At 38.1% G+C, this 24,911-nt stretch overlaps 1 protein-coding gene and 1 long non-coding RNA gene across 31 annotated transcripts in view; one reads left to right on the top strand and one right to left on the bottom strand.

Annotated features, from left to right (window-relative positions):
* The window catches only part of CHRM3 (cholinergic receptor muscarinic 3), a 528,883-nt gene that overhangs the window by 180,797 nt on the left and 323,175 nt on the right, over window positions 1–24,911 (top strand). The window contains exon 1 of one of the 29 annotated variants that reach the window (XM_017000157.3): window positions 22,365–22,841. The exons of the other annotated variants lie outside the window; for them this stretch is intronic. The gene's annotated coding sequence lies outside the window, so the exon portion shown is untranslated. Of the gene's footprint in view, window positions 1–22,364; window positions 22,842–24,911 lie in introns of those variants that run through there. 29 annotated transcript variants of the gene reach the window in all.
* The window catches only part of LOC105373225 (uncharacterized), a 42,892-nt gene continuing 41,296 nt past the window's right edge, over window positions 23,316–24,911 (bottom strand). The window contains exon 4 of one of the 2 annotated variants that reach the window (XR_007066968.1): window positions 23,316–23,395. This is a non-coding gene — a long non-coding RNA (uncharacterized LOC105373225). Of the gene's footprint in view, window positions 23,396–23,592; window positions 23,673–24,911 lie in introns of those variants that run through there. The other variant, XR_007066969.1, reaches the window with a different exon arrangement.

Here is a 24,911-nt window from a genome sequence, read left to right on the forward strand (position 1 = left end):
AATTTCAGAAAACAACTTGATAACATCCTATGTGATGCAGTTAACATTTTCTTTCTCAATATGCTGATACATTACTTCCCAGAATGATAGATGCATTTTTTTCTCAATACAACAATACGGTAGATATGCAGGGTAAAAAAACACATTTATTTTGACTGTAACCTACTGGTTTTAGGTAACAACTTATAGAATTTATCTTGAAGCAATAATTAAAACAGTGCCTCAGGTACTCCTCATTCTCTGGGGAAAGGATTGGTCTGAAACCACCTTCTACCCCCACAGGTCAAAATTATATATCGGTGTGTGAAGGTGAGTGTGTGGCTTCCATTATGTCCTGAAGCATGGAGAGCACATTATTGGGCAAGAGGGCCTTCTGGCTGTTTCCTTTGGGCTCCAGGATGCTGCCTTTCCCCATTTCCCTGCACTTGGCTGGTTTGTGTTGAAGACTGAGACCTGGCTTTGTAGTAACATAGAGACTGCTCTGTTTGGGCATGGTTGGAGCTTGTTTGGTGGCTTTCTCTGGCTGCCTCCACCTCTCTGGTTCCTGCTGGTGGGTTCTCTCTAGGCCCCAATAAGGTCTGCACTTTGTCCCATTTGGCTCCTACTAGGCTCTTCTCTGAAGGCCTCCTCTGGCTAGTCTCCTGGCAGCCTGTCAGACACTTCAGAGCCTGTTTCCACCTCACAGCAACTGAGGGAGGTCCAGGAAGTGCCGGCTGCAGAGCAACCCCCACTCAGCCTCCTGGACAGCCAGGTTCAGTTTCATATGGTGGCTATCCTCCAGGCTGGTGTGGGTAGCCTCTTTCTAGAGTCCTGAGTGGAGAAGGAGGGCAAAGGCCCAGTAATATGGTTTGGCTGTGTCCCCATTCAAATCTCATCTTGAATTGTAGCTGTTATAATTCCCACCTGTTACGGGAGGGACCTGGTGGGAAATAATTGAATCATGGGAGTGGTTTCCCCCATACTATTCTTGTCTTAGTGAGTAAGTTTCACGAGATCTGATTGTTTTATAAGGGGAGACCCTTTTCGCTTGCCTCTCATTCTTTTGTCTGCCACCATGGAAGACATGCCTTTCACCTTCCACCATGACTGTGAGGCCTTCCCAGCCACGTGGAACTATGAGTCTATTAAACTTCTTTTTCTTTATAAATTACCCAGTCTCGGGTATGCCGTGATCAGCAGTGTGAAAACAGACTGATACACCCAGCTTTGCTTTAGTGATTCCCTCTGCTTCACCCTACCTTCCCATCCCAGGGACAATGTGAATAGAAGAAAAAATTAGACATATATCCCCTTACCCTCAGCCTCCTCTGCTCTTTTTCCTCAGCCTCCTCTGCTCTTTTTCCTCAGCCTCCCCTCTTCTTCCATCATCCATTCTCCAGGACCCACAAAAGGGCAGCTTTTCCTAGATCCTGTACTGCCTCTGGATGCAAGCATGATAAATAATCCCCAAGGAAGAACAGGGACAAGGTCTCTACTCACTGAGAGAACTCTGGGCTGTGACCCACCTGCTTAATTAACTCTTGATAAAGCAGATGACAACAACTGGAATTCAGCAAATCCTTTATATATAATGCCTACCTCTCAATATCTCTTTCTAAACATAATCAAGTTTTCTAGTTTGTTGTTATTTTTTTCCCACTTTCTGCCCTTAGAAGAAAGAGAAAGGTAGTGTTGGGACAGAATTAAAGGAGGAAAAGTGGAATCCATTGCTTTAATACTTTTACAATCACATTATCCCTAATATTTAAATATTTATGTGATAAGTGTATACATGCACATGTAAATATAATATTCCTTCCCCATGTTAGCTATATGACAATAAGAAAGTTCTTTAATTCTGTTTGCTCTCTCTAAGATATGGATGTAAAAGTACATACCTCAAAAGATTGTTTTTAAAAATGGTAAATGGTGTTTAGTATGTACAATGACAGATAAAGCTTTCAAGATCTCTAAAGATACAAGTCTTCTAATGATCTTTTTTGACTTTGAGTGACTTACTTCACAAATCAGGCCCCATCAACTCATCATATAATGACTCAGATGGCTGCTAAGAAAACCAATCATAAAAACTTTCATAATTATGGCAAACTGAGAAAAATTTAAATACTGCGATAACACAAATTAGTAGGAAATACATTTATGTATTTTCAGTAAGTTCGTTGTGTCAGTCAATTTGCAGAATTCCTTGGAAAGTGATCATATCTTTTGGAGTTTAAGATATCCATTCTTCCTTCCACTATAAGCTCTGAATGTAATATGAAATAAGAAAAAGTAATTGAAAAATAACAAAGCAAAACATCACCCTTATAATAAGTAAAGCTGAAGTAATAAAATGTTGGTTTATGTCAGTAGTGAAGTAAGTTTCCTGATACTGAAATTCTGAATTGGATGGCAAAGCTGGACTGGGTCAAGTGTCTCCTTGCAGTGGGGGAGTCTGGTCATAAATGTCTGGAATGAAGGTGCACAGAGGGCATCCCAGACTTTAGGCACAAAAGATTTGAATTTTAAGATGATGTCTGTAGATATATATGATTTATCCCACTGTGGTATTTCATTGATATAACTGAATTCTGAAGATGATTCTCAAGTAGGCTACCCATTCCCTTCTGAGGAAATCAAAAGGGATATTTATGTTTTTTTAAAAAACAGCAACAACAACAACAAAAGAAAGTTCAGGGTGATTGATATGGTTTGGCTCTTTGTCCCCACCCAAATCTCATCTCAAATTGTAATTCCCATAATCCCTGTATGTCGAGGGAGGGTCCTGGTAGGAGGTGATTGGATCATGGGGGCAGTTCCCCCATGCTGTTCTTGTGACAGTGAGTGAATTATCATGAGATCTGATGGTTTTATAAATGGCAGTTTCCCCTGGGCTTTTCTGTCCTTCCTGCCACCTTGTGAAGAAAGTGCTTGTTTCCCCTTCATCTACTGCCATGACTGTAAGTTTCCTGAGGTCTCCCCAGCCATGTGGAACTGTGAGTCAGTTAAACCTCATTCCTTTGTAAATTACCCAGTCTCGGGTATTTCTTTATAGCAGCGTGATAACCAACGAATACAGTGATGCTTCTAAAATGAAATGGTCAGGAGCCCTTGCTCTCCCTGGTGGAAGTAGTAGAGCTGTGATAGATATGGAAAATCTCTTTCTGTTATTTTCTCATGTTTGTTACTAACATCAACTGCCCTAGTAGTTTATGAATGGCCAGTTTGTTGGTGTACTCAAATCTATACTAATGCTTGCAGATTGGTTTTATTTGCTTGCAGCTGAGCATTGATTACGGCCATTGTTTCAAATAACTGACAGCCGAGAGTGCTTTACAAATCAAAACGATGAAATGGTACAGGATGGTCCCTTAAATTATATAGTCTGCTCAAAAATGTGAGGGAGTTTAATGTTAAACTCCCAAAAGAAGTAAGTGACTGAGAGGTCACCGTAGTTCATGGAGCACCTTTACTAGATGATCTGAATGACTAGCTTTGAGATGGAGTAAAAATATTTCCATTCCCCTCCCATCTAGAAAATCACTGGCAAACAAAAACAGCGAGAAGTAAACACAAACTCCATCTTCACTGATACTAGAAGATAGCAATAACTCTGGGGAAATGGGAAGAGGAACAGGTGCTGGATTAAACACAGGCTTACATGTAAGTCTGCAGAGTGAACTTTGAGACTCCTGTGCCCAGCTGCCTTCCCTGCCAGATGACAAAAGCTGGCGGCAATAGTGAGGCTGGGGGAACTTTATCTGGATAACCCGAATCTACCCAGAGAAATGACATCATAATAATGGAGATTAAGTGGCTGCCAGTTAAAAAGGTGACCAGGCCCAAGATCACCTTGTAATGCAAAAGTGGACAAGCATCACCTTCCCACTACACCTTCCAACCAGCTTGTTAGGGCCTGGCCTATAAATAAGAACACCCAAGTTAGTGCAGAGAAAGTTTCTGGGAAGTATTTTAGCAAGGAAACAGTGCAAAAAATATTTCCCAGAACTAGAAGATAGGAGTTTCCAGATTGAAAAGACACGCTGACTGTCCAGCACTTCAAATGAATTCAAATCCACACTGAGGTGCACAGCTGTGAAATTGCAGAGCTCTTTGGAGCCCAGATTGTTTAGTGTAGAGCAGTCTTGGAGATGCATATATCCTCCCTTATACCTCTGGGACCCATTAGGGACACTGACCTGTTTTAAGATGGTTGGATCAGGACAGAGTCACCACCAGCTGTCCCTTTTTCTGGGAGTAACATTCCCTGTGGCCCTTACAGCACTGTGCATTGTCAAACACTGCATTGGTCCATCTTTTATTCTCACAGTGATCTCCGTCTCCTGCACGTCATTACACTCTCGTGTGCCCAGTCAGCATAGTCCCAGCACATCAGAGAAGTCTCCACTATGTCCAACTCCAAATGAAAGGGGCCAGAGCTCCATCTCCTTTTCTCTTACAAGTAATTTTTGTGCTAACTCATAAATGTAAATAGATGTGTGGGCATTTTCTTTTCTTTTTTCCCCCTAGAGTTCAACCTCTTGATACTGGTCAGTGCTTTTGCAGTAGGACTGACTTCTTTGACTTCTTTTCCCAAGCCCTGGCTCAGCCAGTATGTCATATCAACTACCATTTAATTATAAAACTACCATATGCCAGACGCTATGCTAAATAATTCACAGATAATGTCTAAATAAGCTTTACAAGCATCCTATTGGAAAGTTACAGTACTCCCCATTTTAGCTTGGGTTTAATCTAAAGCTGTATTTTTTAGCCATTTTACCACCAAAAGCTTGTGCAAGTTAAAATCTAGGGCTTCCATATATGCAGGGGAATCCAGATGCAGGCACGAGAAGGAGATATTCCTCTACCCATGATGACATTGAGGCCCAGGACAGCCCCAGTGACTGCTGAAGAATCCTTGGACCCCGTTGATAAAACGGAGATGAGATTCCAATTCAAAAGATTTCACAATTTCAGTCCTCTTCTTCCAGACACTGAAGTGGGTAACAGATATTACTAATTTTCTGACTGAAACTGAGAAGCTTGAGTCATCATTTCTAGACTGTATGTTAGTAAATTTTTTGTTAGAATTGTGATATTAATGAAGGTCATGTTGAATGAGATTTCCTAGTTCTGTATAAATTTGCATCATGATGATATACATCTTTTCCGGCTAATGTCCATCACAACTAATAATCATTAGCAATCAGCAAACTCATAAATGTTTGTCCCCATTGCTCTTTGAAACTAGTTCATTTAAATGATGATTTCTGTTCTCATTAGGTATTTGCCATATTGTAACCTTGTTCCCAAGGATAACAGGGTTTTATAGTTTATTTGAACATAATAATACTCTCCTAGTCAAAATAGTTAAGTAATAGTGACACTAAATGTCAGCTCTTAATGGATGTGATATGGGATGCATATGAAACATATTTCATTTAAAGCGATTATTTTTATTTCAGAGAAAAATGCAATCATGTTATTAAGGATTCCACAAAGCACTTCAGAGCAAAGAGAGAACTTTTATACTTTACATGTAGTCTTCCTTTGTCTGTGATTGTTTATATCCCGCTTAGAATTTAGCTTTCTTTCCAATATTCTGTTTCTTCTCTAAATGTTCTCACCTCATCTTCACTTCGTTGAATATCCTATTCATCCCTAAGCTTCCAGGGGTTCTTGGGCATTTGGAGGGTTTGGCCCTACCCTAGTACTTAGGTGTACACATAGTACGGACACCTTTCATACCTTCTCTTCCATGCCGCACTCCTTCCCATCGCCACGAGGCTGCCTAGTTCCTCGCATTCTTTTTTTCCCCCTACCATTTAGTGCCAACTTTTTTGCAACTTTGGCTGTCACTTTCCCTTTTTCTCCTCTAATCCTTGCTTCTACCTTTTCAGTGCTATACCAGTTTGATATCCCAGCAGTTTTACTGAGTTCCTTCTGCGTGAAGAAAATCAAAGAGATGAGGATGCTGAGTAATATCACCTTAAAATGTAATCAAGAAAAGTTTATCGGTAGAAAGTTACTTTAATTAGTTTAACATTGATATGTCCCAGGGCCAAAGCCTTGACCCTGGTTCCCTGGAATGTCATGGGAAATTCTCTTCCCTAAGCCATATTCTTTCCAAACCAGTTACTAAAGTCTTTTAATTTTACATGAGAGTTATTAGAATAAGAAAAAAGTTCTATTTAGTGTGCATAGCCTATATTGAAATCAAATGATCCTTAATATGCATAGTCTCATAGAACTATGCAATGTATGCAGTGTAGATTTCCATAGACCATCCTCTTATCCCTCTAGTTCTGCCTGCTAATAGGTACTCCAGCCAAGATCTTTAGCTCGTCCCAGGTCCCAGGGCAGATCTCTTCACTGTATTGTTCTCTTTTAAACAATTTCACAAAAAGCAAGCATTTTGTGTGTATATATAGTATAATTATGCATATATTAATCATGTTCTTTTAAATTTTGCATTCCTGAACCAGTAGTTTTCATATCACTCTTTTTCCTTAGCTTTATCATCTGGACCTTGTCTTCCACACTAGGTCCCCCATCATACCTTAGAAAGTTATTTCTTGATCTATTTAGTAATTTCTCTATTTAGTTAGTTTTAGTGGTAGAGGCTGGATCTGGTCTCTTGTCTCCTGATCTAATGCTCTTTGCCCTGTACAAGGATGACCCTGAAATCATCTCATCTAAAAGCAATGCAAGCAGACTTACCCTGGCAATTGAGGGTTAGTCTTTTCTTTGTACACAGATAGTTTTTGGTTAAGGGAAGAGATATTTGTCTGTGTTTCTTACCCCATTTGAGTTTATTCTCAGCTGAGCTGCCAAAATGATCCTTGTAAAAGCTCAGCCAGAGAGTGATACCCCTATACTCAGATCCCTGCATTGTTCCCCATTTCACTCAGAGAAAAAGCCAGAGTAGGTACAGGTCCAGAGGCCCAGCATGGTTTGGATGTTCATTTCCCAGCTGCCCTCCTCTCCTTCTTTCTGTCTTCACTTATCTCCAGCTGTGCTATTATTCTTGCTGGTCCTCATTTGGGCCACACCAGATTCCACCCTGGGGCCCTTTGTCCAGCGCTGGGCCTGGAGCACTCTTCTCGGTTATGCACTGGCCAGCTCCCTTACTACCTTCATGTCTTTGATGGAATCTCACCCCTTTGCCAGGCCTACCTAGACTACCCTACTTAACAGAGCAGCCTGTCCTCCTTCCTTCCTCCTGCATCCAGGCATTCTTGGCATAATCAAATTATTCTTTTTTGCCTTATCACTTATCAGTTTGAGGCATTCTTTATAAGTTACTTTTTACTGGATTTATTGTTGATTATTTTATTCCCTCCACCATATATTATGTTCAATGAGGGAAATAATTTCCTTCTTCTTCTTTCTTTTCCCTCATGCTGCTCCTCCTCCTCTTTCTCCTTCTTTTTCATCTTTTTTCTTCCTCTTCTTTCTTTCTTCCTCCTCTTCCTCCTCCTCTTCTTATTTTCTTCTTCTTCTAACCTAGAATACCCTGTGGCATATATTAGGCATTCAAAATTATTTGTTGAATGGAGGTAACAATCTTTTATTTTATTTTATTTTGAATGGAGGTAACAATCTTAATCAATGATTTGGCTCTAATGTTGCCAACAGAATAGACGGCACCATTTCAAGAATTACTAATGCTGATTTTATAGTGGTAGAATCTATGTCCTGATTCTGATGTAAAAATAAATATGTTGGTAGAGAAACTTTAAATCTCATACATCCTATGATAAGGATTAGAGGATTTAAATTAAATAGACTCAAGTCTTGTTTTGTTTTTTCCAGCTGGTATATTATTTGTGTAGGTAAGTTTCTCTTTTTGTAAAAATGCCATTTAAATAAGAACCTCTACGTATTAGCACCTTCACATAAAAAAAGGTGAAAATCTCTGAGTAAGATAGGACAGGAAGTGGGAGTGATTCCTCTTTCAGTTGAGCAGCCTAAAGGGTTGTTGAGGGTGTTTCTTATACCTCCGGCTGACTAAAGCCATTAGTCTGTTGTGAATGAAGAGAGTGAAACTTCAAGTCCTAATAAAGCTCAGGGACAACCCAAATAATTCATATTCTTTTATTGTTAATATCTTACAAGATTTCTAATGCAACAACCACAGTATTTGTTTGGCTTACTGTGTCTCTGAATTAATAGGGGTTCATGTTTTCTCCTAGGTTGAGCCAGTTTTTTTGGGTTCTGTGCTAAAATACGACTCCATTCTAGAGGCTGGGAAAGCTATGCAGTATTTGAGCCAGAGTAGACCTTGAAGGGCCCAGGAAGGTGTCCAGGGCAGCACAGACAGCTCTAGTCAGTGACGGTCATGGGAAGTCATCAGTCAGGCCTGAACAGGGGCTGGAGAACATGTTTGCACTCCTACAGGTGTGTATATATAGAGATATATATACACACACAGGGTTATATATAATGGTAAAAAAAAAACACGTAAAACAAAATTTACCATTTTAATCACTTTTAAGTGTACAGCTAGCTTGATAGTGTTACATACATTTCACATTGCATGCAAACAATATCTAAAACTTTTCATCTTGTAGAAATGAAACTCTGTACCCATTAAACAATAACTCTCCATTTCCCTACCTCCCCTACCCCTGGTGACTGACCACTATTCTACTTGCTGTTTCTATACATTTGACTACCAAGTCATGAATTTGACTACTCTAGGTAATGGAGTCCTGTAGTATTTGGCCTTTTGCAGCTTGCTTATTTCACATCACATAATGTCCTCAAGCTTCATCCATGTTGTGTCATATGTCACAATATTTCTCGTTTTTAAGGTTGAATAACGTCCATTGTATATGGATACCACATTTTGTTTATCCAGTCATCCTGTGAGGCTAGAACCAATAAAAGCTGTAAGACTTCCTAAACCCTCTACTCCCTACCCACCCCCATCCCCAGGGATCGTAAGTTAATGGCACTTACACGTGAAATTATAGTGGTTATAGAATGTACTTGAGATTGTTCAAAAAGTGACAAGAGAGCATTAGCATGATTCTTACTGAAAATTGGGAATGAGAGTATTAACTATTGAACAGTTTGGCTCATGAGTGAATATGAAATTTCAACATTTCTGGCCAGGCACGGTGGCTCATGCCTATAATCTCAGTGCTTTGGGAGGCCAAGGCAGGAGTATTGCTTGAGGCAAGGAGTTCAAGACCCATCAGGGAAACAGCAAAACATCATCTCTACACACACACACACACACGCACACACACACACACACACACACACACAACAAACAAACAAATCAGCCAGGCATGGTGGCATGTGCCTATAGTCCTAGCTACTTGGGAAGCTGAGGCAGGAGGATCATGTGAGACCTGGAGTTTGGGGCTGCAGTGCAGTGACCTACGATTGTGCCACTGCGCTGCAGGCTGAGCAACAGAGCAAGACCCTATCTAAAAAAAAAAAAAAGAAAATCACCATTTCTGCACAGCTACCGCAGACTATAGGTGTTTCATCAGAGTAAAGAAACCAACAGTTCTCTGAAAAGCACACACTGTGCTACCTGCAAGCACGACCCTTCCCGGTAAAGGTTAAACACATAACAATTTCAGCTTTAAAGCTAGCCTACTTACTTCTCCATATAAAAATATTTTCAAAAAGAAAAAATAAATTGTAACAAACACTTCAGAATTTTCTAGACCATTTGAAGTCTTTAGGTTGAAAGTGGAGTATTATAAACTTTATCTGTTTCTGATTGCTTCCCCAGAATTTGTAAAAGGACTAGAATCCAGAAGCTTCTAATAGATTTCTGACTAGATTTTTTCTCTACTTGTGTTGTCTACTATTTTCTTTCTCTTCCCCATTATCCCACTCTCCCAGCCTTTTCCTTCCTTTCCTTCGTTTTTCTTTTCCTTCCTTCTTTATTTCCTTTTTTTGATGTTTATTCACTGATAAGGTTATGTTATGACACATATCCTTTTAATTTTTTTAAATAAAAAATATTTTTGTAATTGTTCAAATTCATTTTGAAAAACAATAAGGGAAAATAAGATGTTCAGGGACAATAAGATGTTCATTGAAAATACGTAATGACTGAAGTTCTCATATCTGAGACAAGAATGAAGTAAATATATAAAGTGTGGTCGGGATTGATACACAGTCTTCTTGTGTGTGGAGGCCAAATAACAAATGTTTCACTACCATGCACTGTCCCCTCTTCTGCCTCGCAGGAGCAGAATGATTGCTCATAGCAATTCTTAACACTGTTAACAGGTATTTGGGTTTCACAATAATGGTGGCTGCAGAGTACAAATTACTTAATCATTTCGCATTGGTACCTGTTCCATTATAGAATCCTGCATAAAATTAGTCACATTTGAATATGACATCCTAAACATTTTTCCAAATTGTATTTCCTATCAGATTTATGTATTGGTTGCCATTTCAAATATGTTCAGACCATGCATTATCTTGAAGGAGGCAGGTCCTGTTTGTAACATCTTCACTTTCCTTGTCACTGGCATCCTCTAAAGTGCCCATGGCAAGCATACGGATCCCCCAAGAGAATCATTACACTTCCAGCAAAACTCTATTTATGAAGGAAATGACAGACGTATTAATGGGAAGACATTAATATTTGAGAAGGCTTATTAGGTCATTCTTCCCAAGAATGTGTGCATTTTTGTAATGGTCAATGCTGTAAGCCTCAAGAATGGAAAACTAATGGTTTGATTTTCAGTGCCTATAATGGACCAAGGAAACAGGACTTTAATAAGGTGTAGGTTTATGAGAGCCCCAGAGTCATATCACACAGACCATTGTCTCTATAGAAGGTCAGTTAGGTCAGTCAGTCAGTTTTGATAATTTATAACTCCATCTGTGTGTGCAGTTATATTAAATATGTTCATGAATCTGTGTCTTGTGGCTTTGCAGTTAATTGTTCAAGAAACCTTTGGCACATTTTTGTATTTTATACATTTCATATTTTTACATTCACCACACTATTTACTGAGTTTTACAGAGATATACTACATATATTTCAGTGATACCACTTTGTTCAGAAAAATTGTCATCTTATTTGTCTTAGTTAGCTCTGAATAACTGAATTTTTCCCAAAAATCTACAGGTCAAAATTTACTATTATGGTCAATATCTGAAAGCTCACCCTGGAGAATCTGAAATAAATTCCCAAAGAGGCACTTTATCATGTTTTAATCAAATGATAGTCTTTGGCATTTTAGTGTATAACCTCTTATGTGACTATTTTGAAGATGACCTAACTTGCCCGAGTGTATAGATCATGATGTGTCTGATTTAAAAAATTTAATCTTCTTATCCCAAAGTATGTCCTCCATTAATTGCTATCTTTTTCAGCATTTCCCATGCTTGAACGAATGTCAAAATCACCTGAAGAGCATTTTACACTAAAAGATCACTGGGACTCCACCCGGTCCCCAACCCAGAATCTCCAGGTCTCCCACTCAGGATGCACAATTGTAGTGAGTTCCCCGAGTGCTTCTTAAGCAGCCAGCCCAGCACCTATTGCTGGACCATTAAGAACCATTCATCTGCACCATTGCCCAAGTTCAGAAACTTGTAGCAACCCAAGACTTCCTCATTCACTTTCTATTAAGTAGATCCTATTAACTTTACAATGTAAGTATCTCACTGTTCCATTACTAGAATTAATTATTAGCATGAATGTTTCACCACTTATCTCAAATAAAGGAATTAGACTCTATTCTGGCATAGTTTTAACACTTACTAAATATTCGTTGAGTGAATGATGAAGTGAGTGAATGAAAGATGTCATAATAGACCTTGTTAAATGCCTTCTTTGCCCCTGGTTTTCTTATATTCCATATTTCCTTTGGTTACCAATCTACTAGCTCTACCAAAGGAAATAATAAAGTTAGTTTGACACATGCTGATTTCATTAAACACACACTGGTTCTTAGGGATTCCCCAGTCTTTCTTCATGAAGTCCATCACTGTGCTAATCTATTACAGAATAATTTCTGGAATATTAAACATATTAATGTCAACATTTGGAAATGGCATTGCTTTTAGAAAACTGTAACAGCATGTGTCATTTTTTCAGAATTATAGGAACTCTTGTATATTTTATTTCGAAGGTCACCAGCCTTATCTAAGGACTATCACTTGTGGATTCTTTGAGTACCTATAAAGGCAATTGACCTGAGGTCAGGATACTGGAATTCACTTAGAGTAGCCCTTGAATAATCCCTGCATTCACATAATTAGGGCTTAGGGTTCACCTTAGCCATTTTCACATGTGGGGTTTCTTATTCCTAAAATAAATTTTTTTGCCTTCAATAATTGTTGTGCACCTCAATGTATTTTGTATTTTGGACTTTTTAAAATGTTACCAATCCTTAATAATAGTTGACACTTACATAGTACTCACTGTATGGCAGGCATTGCTTTAGGTAATTTATACGTCCATATTAACTGATTATTCATTCATCTTCACATACACACTATAAGGCAGGTACTTCACAAAGACACCATGAGGTAAGTATAATTGTCACCATTTTACAGGGGAAGAACTCGAGGCACAGCAAACTTAAGTGATTTTCCCAGGGTCCTGCAGCTCACAGATGTGTGAGTTGAGATATGAACTCAGGTTCCCTGGCTCCAGTGTTCTTAACCACTATGCCAGACTGCCTCTTCCTTAGCTGCCCTCATTTATGTGCCATTTGTCTACATCTTCTGTCCAGATCTTAGAACTTTATGAATTAACTGATAAGTACCTTGTGCATCCATATTGTCTATTACTTACCTACCCTTCTTCTATCATTAAGAGAATTTGTGAATACAAAGATGACAGTACTTTCCCTCTTGCCCCCATATTTTCCCAAGTCTTTTGTAACCAGTCTGTACTACCTGGAAAATACACACTGTCACACACACACACACACACACACACACACACACACACACACACACACACATCAAAAATTGACCATATTCAACTATTATTGTCAGTTTCCACATTTTCTTCTCTTTCAATCAAATTGTGAGTATGCTATTATCTAACAAAGAAGGAAACTAAAACTCTTCTCTGCTATTCACACATTTCAACTATTTATATAATCTTGTATTTTGGCAAAGAGTTTAGCAACTGTTTATGCCTTGCTGGAAAGTCACTGTTATCCTCACCCAACAGAAGAAAGAACTGTCAAGTGATTGATTTGTGGTCCTCTAGGATTTACCAAAACTAATAGTACAATCTGAGCTCCAGACCTATCGTCAGAATCTCAGAATATTCACCAGTGCTTGCTCTCATTTGTATGTGATTTTAGATGTGCCACTCAGGCTACTTTGCCCAATTTTATATATATATATATACACACACACACACACACACACACACACAAGTGCATATATATATACAGTGTGTGTATATATGTAAATATATATATATAAATACATTATATATAGGTTAAGAAATTATGAAGCCTTGTGTGATTTTTACATGCAGAAATTTTCTGCAAAAGTGCTCCTTAGGATTGGTTTTTCACATCCACAGATTTCTCCACCTTTGGCAGGGCATTCTTTACCTCTTGGGTGTCTGACTACCCAAATGAATGCAGTTTGGGTCCTACTCACAACATTTGGCAGTGACCCAGGGAGATGGCTCTTGACATAAACCTCAGGATACTGCAAAGTTGCATTTTGTCACTTTTAAAAAAATCCTCTCACCACAGCCCTTGATGTTCATTTTAATTTAGGATTTCTTGGTAGGAAGGGAGAACATGCAGCATACGGTACCATCGTGGACCCTGTACTCTTATGCACATGGCTTTGTTTCTTGAATAGAAATAGTAATAATATAAAGGAGAAGGAAAAGCCATATGTCGAGGACTTATTATAGATTTATCTATAGATTATAGAAAAGTTATTTTCTTTAAACTTCTAAGTATCCCTATGTTTTAAAGAGAATAGATATTGCTCTCCTTTTTCAGATGGGGAAATTAAAACTTAGATCTTGTTTACAGTCTCACAGCTATTAGGTGACAAAGTTAGGATTCAAATACGGGCCTGTTTAACATCATTGCTTTTTCATTCTCAGATTGCTGCTGAGTTGCGTGTGTGTGTGGGTGGGTGGGGGGGATGTATGTATAAAATACTTACAAAGTTTGCATTGGAAGACATCTATTATGAAGGACCCACAAAGCCAAACTCCTTGTGCTGGTCACCTTTTGGGTACTGACATGATTAATTCTGGATTATTAATTGAATATCATTTACCTTGATTAACTCTGTTTAGAATGGTTTATTGGCAGCCAACACTATGCTAATATCTTAATAACATTTTCTTATTTAATGCTTACAATCATCCTAAAAGTAGGTAGTATCCCTATTTTATAAATGATGAATATGAGTCTTAGAAGATGAAGTTACAGTATCACTTAGCAAATAAGTGGAAAACACAAGATTTGAACCTAAGCTGCCTGAGTCTAAAGCCTGTGTGTCTTACCACTTTGCTTTTCTGAATAGAAGTTAGGAGTTTAAAAACTTTACTTTCAACTGTAATATGGAGCAGAGCAAATTTTGCCAATTATTTATGGTATCATTATTTGTAGCATTTTTCATCTCTGCCATGATGTTGTGACAATAACATGAAAGAATACATGTAAATATCCAACATTTGCAGGATTTTTTAACCTAAGTACTCTGCAAATACATGCAATTTAAAATAACTACAACTTTTAATTTCTTGTGAAAGAGCACAATGAAGCTAAATTATGTGCTATGTAAAACTATGCTCTATGTACTATGAACTTGGGATCCTATTGGGTAATACAAATTATGGCCACCTACTAGCTTTTATGAAGTTTTCACTTGCACTCATGTTAACACAAGAACTTTAAAGAGGATTTGGAGTGCTCTGTAGGCTTAGAAAAGTAGCAGGCTTACTTTGTCTGCTAAAAATAATTATTTTTGACCTATATTATCATCTCATGTAAAAAAGAATCTTCTTTATATAAAATCAATATACTTGTGGTACTTTCCTTTTGAGAGTTATTTTATCGCTAACTCAGTTTTCTTCCTGTAGGAAAACTGTGCACTCAGGGGTTACACTTCACAAGACCCAATTTCCCTGAGAGGCCATGCACAGGGTGGCTTCAGTTGGCAGCCCCTATGCTCATGGGTCTTCCATGATTTCCCTGATTAGCACATCCCTCCTCTGCTCCATACAGGACATCCAACATCTCATTGCACATCATCTTTTGTGTGTTGCAGGCATCTCCAACACAACACGTCCCAAACTGAACACGGTGTTTCCTCCCATCCTCTTAAGTTGATCTCTTCAATACCATCCTCATCCATGGCATCATCTTCTCTTTCCTGGGTTACTAAAACAGCGTAATAACTGGCCACTTAACTATGTCACTCCCCTACAGAAGGCATTCTTCACACAGTGACTAGCGTGAAATTTCCAAAATCACATGGGATCGAGCCGTGAGTTTGCTCAGAACTCTCCAGTGTCTTTCATTAGGATAAAATCCACAGACTTTAATTTGATTTATGAGACACTCTCTGATCTGGTCCTCAGTGAGCTCTCCAGAGTCATAGAAGCTACTCTGCCTCTTCCCTGTTGCTCTCCAGCCAGTCTGTGCTCCTCTCAATTACTTGGATGTGAGTGCTCACTCATACCTGTGCCTTCAATGCCAGCCACCATCTTCCTTGTCACCCAATCAGTGGAGCTTTCCTCACCATGGACCATGTGAAGTTCCCTCACCATGCTTTAGAGCAGTTGATAGTTTAGTATCTGTTTTCCTTGAAAGAGCGAAATTCTGTGTGGGCTGTGTGGGCAGGTCACATGTATGAGTGAACCATACGGGAAGGCAGTATGTTAATACTATTTGTGTATTTTGTATTAAACATGCATATGTACTTGTAGACAACTTAATTACAAATGATTCATTGAGTGTATGAAATGTGGAAATGGTCAAATATATCACCAGTCTCAAAAATATTTGTTATGAGCTTATTAAATACTAGACACAAGAAATAATGCATTCATTCAAGAAATAGGAAATGTCTCTGCTATGCCTGGCAATGTGCTAGACGTGAGAGCTATAAGGCACAATCCATGTCTTCAAAGTTTTAGACAATGTAGTTGGGAAGACGGGACGTCGACACAGAGAGCTATGGTCATGCAGGTCAATTTAGTATAGAGATACTTAGTCTAAGAATTTATTCTTGCTGGTTAGTTACTTAGATAAGAACTGCTTTGAATGTAAATTTACTAGTTCTGACTTGCTTTTCTCTCCCTTTTCTCCTTCCCCACACCCACTTTTCTGAACAGAAATATAAGATTTATTTAATTTAGTCCATTTGGCTTCATGACAGCAGAAAGTCATCAGCGTAATCACCATAAAAGGACTTTGTTTTATTTTTTATCACCCAGCACATTTTTATTGTCAGAATAGTTACTAATCATTCATTTTTATTTACTCTAGCTTGGGAAGTTTTGCAAAACTCTTGTGACTATTTAGAGAAAAAAAATGCTTTAAATTATGAGTTTTATCCTACCCTGCTGGCCAGTGAACACACCACAAACTTAAACCTCATGATTCCATTAGATTAGGCGTTGAGGAATAGAAAATACCTGCTTTGCCCCTTGTCAGCTGGGGGAACGCAGGAGTCCTTCACCTCCTCCCAGACTTTGTTCTGCACCACAAAATCAGAACATGGTTGTATTTTTCTCATGTTGGATTCGAATTAGTCATTCTTCTTCTTCTTTTTTTTTTTTTTTTTTTTGACAAAGTCTTCTGAGACAGGCTAGAGTGCAGTGGTGCGATCTTGGCTCACTGCAACCTCCGCCTCCTGGGTTCAAGTGATTCTCCTGACTCAGCCTCCCGAGTAGCTGGGATTACAGGTGTGTGCCACCATGCCTGGCTAATTTTTGTATTTTTGGTAGAGACAGGGTTTTGCCATGCTGGCCAGGCTGGTCTCGAACACCTGATCTCAAGTGATCTGCCCGCCTCAGCCTCCCAAAGTGCTGGGATTACAGGTGTGAGTCACTGCCACTATGCTTTGCCTAGAATAATTATTTTGAGCGGCTGAGATAGAAAACAAAGATACAACTGATTAGCATCCATAAACTCTTGGGCTTTTTAAAAATGAGGATTATTTTATAGCTTTGTTAAACTAAATTCAAATATTTTAAGTAGTGTATTGAAGAACATATGTAAGAAAAGAAGAGAGGTAAGATAAGAATAAACATTAAATAGACTGAAGAATGCTATGACATAACAGATGAATTCTTTAGGAGCTAATGAAAGTGCATAAAATGCTGGGTAGAGGATTCGAGTCTTGGGTGGCTTGGGATTCAAGGGATTTTCATTAGAGTCCAGATTTAGCCCCCACAAAGTGCCAAGTGTGGTGACCATCTTCCCCACTTAACTCAGAATCTGTCTCTTCTAATTTCCTTCCAAAGCCAGTTGGAAAAGCGTCTGTTGGTTATATGGACATTGTGTTGGTGAGCACACATAAACTGTAGTTCTTCCTGCTTACAAAGCTCATTAAGAACTCAAATTCATGTTCACTGAGATATCAGTATCATAATCCTAAGATACAATTAATTTTGTAAGCTTCTAAACTAGCTTCTGGTTAGAGTGATTCAAATAATTTCATGATTTGCAACTGGAAGAGGCAACCATTCTTCAGGTGAGCAACAATTAAATATATATATATATATATATATGTATACACACATACGTATATACATATATACACATGTATACATATACATATATGTGTATATATATACTTTTAGGCACATATTCACGTGCAAATACAGTTGAGGAGCTTTTGATGCTAAAAGGATAATAATCTGGAAATTCTATTTGAATAATGACTGGTTGTCCTTCCTTTCTCTTGTGATTATAAGTTTTCTTATGAGCTAGGTGTTCAGTGCCTTCATGGGAGTCACCCAGCTGGTTAGGAGAGAAGTGTGTCCCCAGTAGGTGTGAGTTGAGATATGTTTAAGCTGAGGTTGGTAGGCAAAGATTTTGAGCAGTTGTATCTAAGATTAAAGGAAATTACTAAGATTACTAAAGGAAGTGAAGATGTGATGCATGAATGGAGCAGAACATCCTGTACCCTTTCATGGATTAGAGATGTGTGGAAGAAACACCTCCCCTTTAATCATGTTGTCATAAAGGGCAACCGTCAGCCTTTCTCTCCATAGCAGTACCTGAGAGTGAATGCCCAGCTGAATGGTCCAGTGTAGCTGCAACTAACCATCACAGTTTGAGATGGGAATAAATGCTTGGCAGGTATACTACTACTCTCCTTCTCAGACTGAATATTGTAAAAGTCAATGGACATTTGTATTTCAATACATCCTATACTTTAAGCAGAGAGATAAAATATGAATTTTAAATGGCCAAAGCAGGGTTAACTTGGTTTGTAAAATATAGTCAGCCATCTTATACAGAATTTTGCAGAGCATGCAGTGAGAAAGAAAAACAAATAGATGAATATGCACTAATTATTTCCCAAGCATTTTGCTTCAACTAAAAAAGATTCCCCTGCAATGTCAGTTTTATTTATCATTCCCATTTTAGAGATGAGAATACTTTGCTCCAGTTGAGTAACATAATTTTGCCTAGGAGAACTCAACTAATAAATCATAATGCAGATCTTGGTTTAAGGTATTGGAAATCCATCCACTTTCTACTCTTCCATGCTGTGTCTCTGAAAGAGTAATTTCTGTCCACTCCCTGCCCTCCCGTGGGAGGCAGACAGGCCCAGTAACCTCTGACATCTGTGAATTAATGTGCCAAACATGTTTAGATTTTTTTATAAAACAATATCTGAGGCTAAGCTGAGTCAGAACTGACTGAAAATTATATAGGTGTTTTTTGTTTTTTGTTTATTTTTATTTTTTATTTATTTTTTGCTGCTGTATTTTTGTGGATGTTAGCTCTGGAATTACACCAAAGCTTATTAATACATAACTGTGGCCTGTATAAGCTGTAAAGGTCTTTATGTGAAAATTGTGGAGGTGAGCTTGGACTGCAGCCTATTTTTTTGCAGCATGGAAGTTTCTCAAAGAAAATGTCAGGGCTTTGAATACTCATGAATCAAAACACAGACAAAAATAAAATTTTAGATAACTCTTGGAACCCAAACTAAAGGCCAGAAAATAATCCCCTTCCCATTCTTCAACATTTCAAGGATCTTATGCTTATATCTACCATTAATTTATTTTTAAAGTACTCAGCTGTTCTTTTAGAAATATTTCAGTTCTTTTTATTTTATATTCTGGGATGTTATAAAGCAGATATGTTGCATGCTTTCTCCTTGTTTGTGGGGAAATTATAATTTTGACACTCAGGCAAAAAAAAGTGCTATAAGACTCTAAATTTCTTTCAGTGAGTTATAATTATTTCCTGCACTTTATGTGATGTTTCCTGAGCTACACCCAGTTCTAGGATTGATACTAAAAGTTTGGATTGCCAACTTTTTGCCTCTTCTTTCTAGATTCTGTCTGGTAGAGACCAAGAGAAAAAAGGGAAAGTTGAAGCTTTAACTGTATTATTGATGGATATTGGCATCTCCCAAAATACAGGTCTTTTGGATAAAGCTGGATTTGAAAACATGGCTGGTTGAGAAATCTGGGCTCCTACTAACTCCTCAAGCCTATTCCTTCCCATGCTTGTAGAGAAGCTGGAGCCATGTCCTCTTCCCTGAGCCGGGAAAGAGTTGACTTCAGCGCTACCTCACACATTCTGTCACAGGATGATCAGAAATCAGCGCGTGGTGACCTTTCTGACCACCCTCTGGCAAGCAGGCCCCTGGCCTCACCTCCACGTGCTGTACAGAGCAGTGAGGTAGGTTCTGGTGGCTTCTTGCAGATCCACGTACTTGCCACAGAGAGACAGTAGCATGCTGCTCACTTCCCATTGAAGGGACCAACTCAGCCCTCCTTCCTGTGGTAATAACAAAGCCACATACAGGCCAGCCTCTTACCAGTCATTTACGTCAGCTTCTTTCCTTTTGATGAAAAATATGGTAGCAAGAGAGATATAAGCTAGATAGAGAGTCCTCCCCTCCCGCTTTGCCTTCCCCTGCCAAAGACACCAGAAAGAACTTTTTTCTCATTGAAAATTTTCTTCATTTATAAGCTGAGGCAAGAACATCAGGAAGCAGAGGGTTGCCAATGCAGTATGAGGGGCAATTTTAAGCCAACTGTACAATGAAATATAGTGCAGTTGGCAAAACTGATCAAATTACCGGTAGACACTTAATAATCTTTATTTAATGTTTCAGAGTATCTACCTATCTCTGTCCCATACTTCTAACTTTCTCAAGTTTTCTTAACTCCTAAGCAACGAAGTCATTTTTCCAGGGCTGCATTCAGGAATTATAGTCACCATTACAAAAGTGTAGTCTGGCCAAGAGAAACATTTCCTCAGACTTGAACCTAAATAAACTTTCTCATTTGCTAAGCAACAAAAGGAGCTTCATATTTACTTAAATTTTACAGATCTTATTTAACCAATCTGGTTTTCTCACATATGCTAATTATACTTTTATTAGACCAGTAAACAAACTTATGCATTCTGATTTTATTTTCTTTTACAGTTATTTAAGTACAGAGCTCTCTAAAATTTGATTTTTAAACATTCGATCAGACCAATAGATGAGCTACACATCGCTCTGCTCTCCTAATTCAAAGCATGTAGCATATTTTAAATTCCATGCAAATACTGCATAAAAACTTTTGAATACATTATGCCATTTTCTAATTTTAAACAAACTTGATTTAAGCATGTATGCAGATTGTTTCATTTGCTAGCTAGAATACCAACCCCTGCAGCTCCCAGTGAGTAGACGAGTCTAGGGACAGTATTTATGAAACTATTGTTTAGAATATTGATCAGCCTCCGCATGGTTCTGTTGACTGTGTGTTCTGTTAGAGATGAGGTAATGTATCTGAAAGTGCTTCTCTGTATGGGGGTATTTTTATTTTGTTAACAAAGAATTTATGGAGCCCCAGGACGTAGCACAGTGTATGGCATGCAGGAGACCCTCAACAAAGAACTGTGGACTCACTGAATGCTCATTAATTCAATGTATGGCCATAATCAAGCTCTTCATAGAAAAGTTCAGTTATCCTTTTCATTTTACATTTTCAGATGTTCTATTGCAATCATTCAGTACACAATCATCTTCCTCCTGTGAACAAAAGATGATTTTGAATATTAAAAGAAAATGAAAGATCAGTGAGGCCCTTCAAAACATATTTTTAACTGTCTTATGCCCCAGCGTCCTGCTTTTGTCCTGTGACAAAAGAACCAAAATGCCACTAGACCAGATGCACAAGGTCTGGAAAATGCTGCTAATAACAGGTACAACTTGTGTTTCTGTGGAGTGCTACCATCTACAAAATTTGCATAGACTTTGAATATGTAGAACAGTGGAATGAATAGAAATACATGTATATATTTCTCAAATGTCCAGACCACTTTATAGAAAAGAAAATCACTTGTTAAATTTACCTTGGACCTGCAGGTGTTATAAGAAAGCAAAACTGTTCATCTTAGTGAGTTATGAAGCATCTTTTTTTTTTTTAGACGGAGTCTCGCTCTGTCCCCCAAGCTGGAGTGCCATGGTGCAATCCTGGCTCACTGCGACTTCTGCTTCCCCGGTGCAAGCAGTTCTCCTGCCTCAGCCTCCCAAGTAGCTGGGATTACAGGCACGTGCCGTCATGCCTGGCTGATTTTTGTATTTTTAGTAGAGACAGGGTTTCACCATGTTGGCCAAGCTGGTCTCCAGCTCCTGACCTCAAGTGATCCGCCCTCCTCAGCCTCCCAAATTGCTGGGATTACAGGCGTGAGCCACTGTGCCCAGTCTGAAACATTATTTTAAATGAGAACTGGAAAAGTATTAATTCTCGTGAATAGTTAATATACTGATTACAATAAGGAACCAAATTTAATATCTACTACATCTCTCAACTGAGTGAAAATAGCTTCCTACCTGTGTAGACATCTTTCTGCCAAAGATAATTTAAGATGCTAATTACAAGCACTGTTCATGAAAAAATCACATATTAGTGCATGGAAATTACATAAAACTATGTGTATACATAGTTTCATATATATATAGTTTTATGTAATTTTCATGCATATGTATAAAACTATATATATAGTTTTATGTAATTTCCATGCATTAATATGTGAAATTTTTTCATGAACAGTGCTTGCAATTAGCACCTATATATATTTATGTAATTTCCATGCATATATATAAAAAACTATATATATATATATATATATATATATATATAGTTTTATGTAATTTCCATGCACTAATATGTGAATTTCTTTTTCATGAACAGTGCTTGCAATTAGCACCTTAAATTATCTTTGGCAAAAAGATGTCTACACAGGTAGGAGGCTGTTGATAGTTTTATATATATAGTTTTTTTATGTATATAGTTATATATACACATATGTCTGACTATGCATCTGAAGAACTTGTAAGTCCACAATAGATGCATGATTTTAGAAACAAGATTATGTGTATTTAAATGCCATAAAATGCCTTAGTGATAAATGTAAGTGCTTTTATTTTTTATTTAAAAACCCACAGTTTTAGCATCATTAATTTTAAAAATCTTCCTTTATTTATATTTCTCTCTGAAGTGTATTATAATGTTTGAATGTAGATGGTCTTGGACCTAAAATCGTGGCTGTGATGGATCCACAAGATTCAAGGTCACCTTCATAGATCATCTAGTCTGTCTCCTTTCTTCTCATCATCCCTCAGGAGGCCAGGATGGTGGATTTGCTCTGGGAATCCCTAGCTACTCCTGGTGTGGAGTAAGTGCTGAATGTTTGTTGATGAAATGATTGAATTTCTTTCCCTCATACTTTCCCTTCAATTTATTCAGTGATTTAAATCAACCATTAAAAATATGTTAAATGCCCATTATATCTCTGGGTATATGAAGACCAATAAGATATGATTCATGTCCTTAGAGACTTTATAGTCTAACAGAAGGAGAGGACAAATACACAAAGAAGGATAATACATCTTACAGATATGAAACAAGTACATTTGGGAACCAAAGGAAATATAGCCAGTTCTCCTGAATGTGGGTATATCCCTAAGAAGATTGTTGTAACCGTTTTTGATAAGATGAACTTTTATAATTTTTTAAAAAGTCTTTATAATTAAAAAAATTAGAGATTAAAAATTTCCCCTATCCCTCTTCTAGCTTCTCTTACCCTTTCTTCAGGAAATTCTTTATATTTTATCCCAATTCTTCATGAGGCATTTTAAACTTGAAGTTCCTTAGTTTCTCCAGGGAAGATAGAAAACATCTGATTGGTATCCCTTATTTAGCAATCTGAATTTTTGGCAGGCTGAATTGCTGGATCAAAACCAAAGAGATTAAATATAACAGGAATAAACATAAAACCCTATATTTAAATTTAAAATGTTATCATACAGATAAAAGACAAGAGACTCACTCATTTTCATGGGAAAAAAAAAGAAGGTCTGAGGATTTTAGGTGGTTACAAACTCAAATATAATCCCATTGTAGGATATGGCTGTTAAAAACCTAACACAGTCTTCTAGATCTCAGTTGGCATTCATGGAAACAGTCTCCCCATCACAGTAAGTGTTAATGCTCATTATGCTGGGCGCTGGTGAGAACACATGGGAAACATAATAGGTTCTGTGTGTTACATTGAAAGTTATGGAAAGCTGCTTATGAAGAAGACATTCAAATATTTATCTCTAGGCTAGCCCTGGCCTTCTCCTGATCCTCAGTTTTGACCAGCGGCTGTGCACCTTCCTCATTGTAGTTGGTGACAATTCCGCCTCTATAAAATTGCGCTGGTCTCCCTTCCTTCCTTGGGTCAAGCTTCTCTCCTGTGACACACGCTTCCATTACTAGTGTTGGTAATCTAGCCTCCACCCACATGGAAAACTCTGGTTTTCTTTACATCTCCTTCACCTTTGTCCCTGCTTTTCTGACATTTCCTGGCACAGAGACAGGATGTACATACTTCATTGTCTTGCCTATAGCTGGAATCACCTGCGCTTTTGTCTCTTATGTTCAGTTCACAGCTAAGGTGACAGAATTTGGTCACACCATCTTAACGTGCTAAAGCAATGACTGCAGCGGACTGCTTAGGAAGTGTTATTTCTATTTACTTCAAAATCAAGACTATAGCAAAATTCACCATGCGTGCCGTCTTTTCTTGGAGATGAAAAAAAAAAAAAGAAACAAGATTACTCTGAACTAAGATTCGGAAATGGCATTTTAATAGCCACTGAAGTAAATGGATGGGCTGTCAGCTGAAAGTTCAGAATAACTGAGTCCCAAACAAGTATGTTATTGGGCCTTGTGTCTGAGAACGCAGTACAGTAACACAGTTGTGAAGTTTTATCGAAGTAGCTGAAGCCTGCTACAAATTTTATGTCCTGCAAAGTGATAGCATTTTGTTTATTTTTATAAGGAAGAAGGGTGTCATTTCTATGTCCTCAGGAGGGAAAGTAATAAGTAACATGGGAGACATTTGGTTGGCTTAGGCCCAGGAAATAAAAGTTCAGAGGCCTTGATTGGCAGGGCCTTTTACTGTTGGTCACTCTTAAGCCCTAGATCCCTAAACTAGAGCTCTGAGCTGGCAGAACAAATGGTTCTGTGTTTCCAGAATTCCAGTCTTTTATTTTCTCTCTGGCGAGGTAGATTGCTTTCTGTAAGAGGAGCTTATTCATTTGAATTAGGCCTTCTCACCATGTCTTCATTAAAAATAGATAGAGTCCATGTTACATGACATCCATCCATAGTCTAGTGTCCTAGACATTGTAATGGCATAACTATATTTAAAATTGAACTTTACTCTCAGAAATCTTCATTGCAGTGAAGAGGTTTTTGC

This window comes from Homo sapiens, chromosome 1 (genome assembly GCF_000001405.40).
Source record: "Homo sapiens chromosome 1, GRCh38.p14 Primary Assembly".
Taxonomy (NCBI): Eukaryota; Metazoa; Chordata; class Mammalia; order Primates; family Hominidae; genus Homo; species Homo sapiens.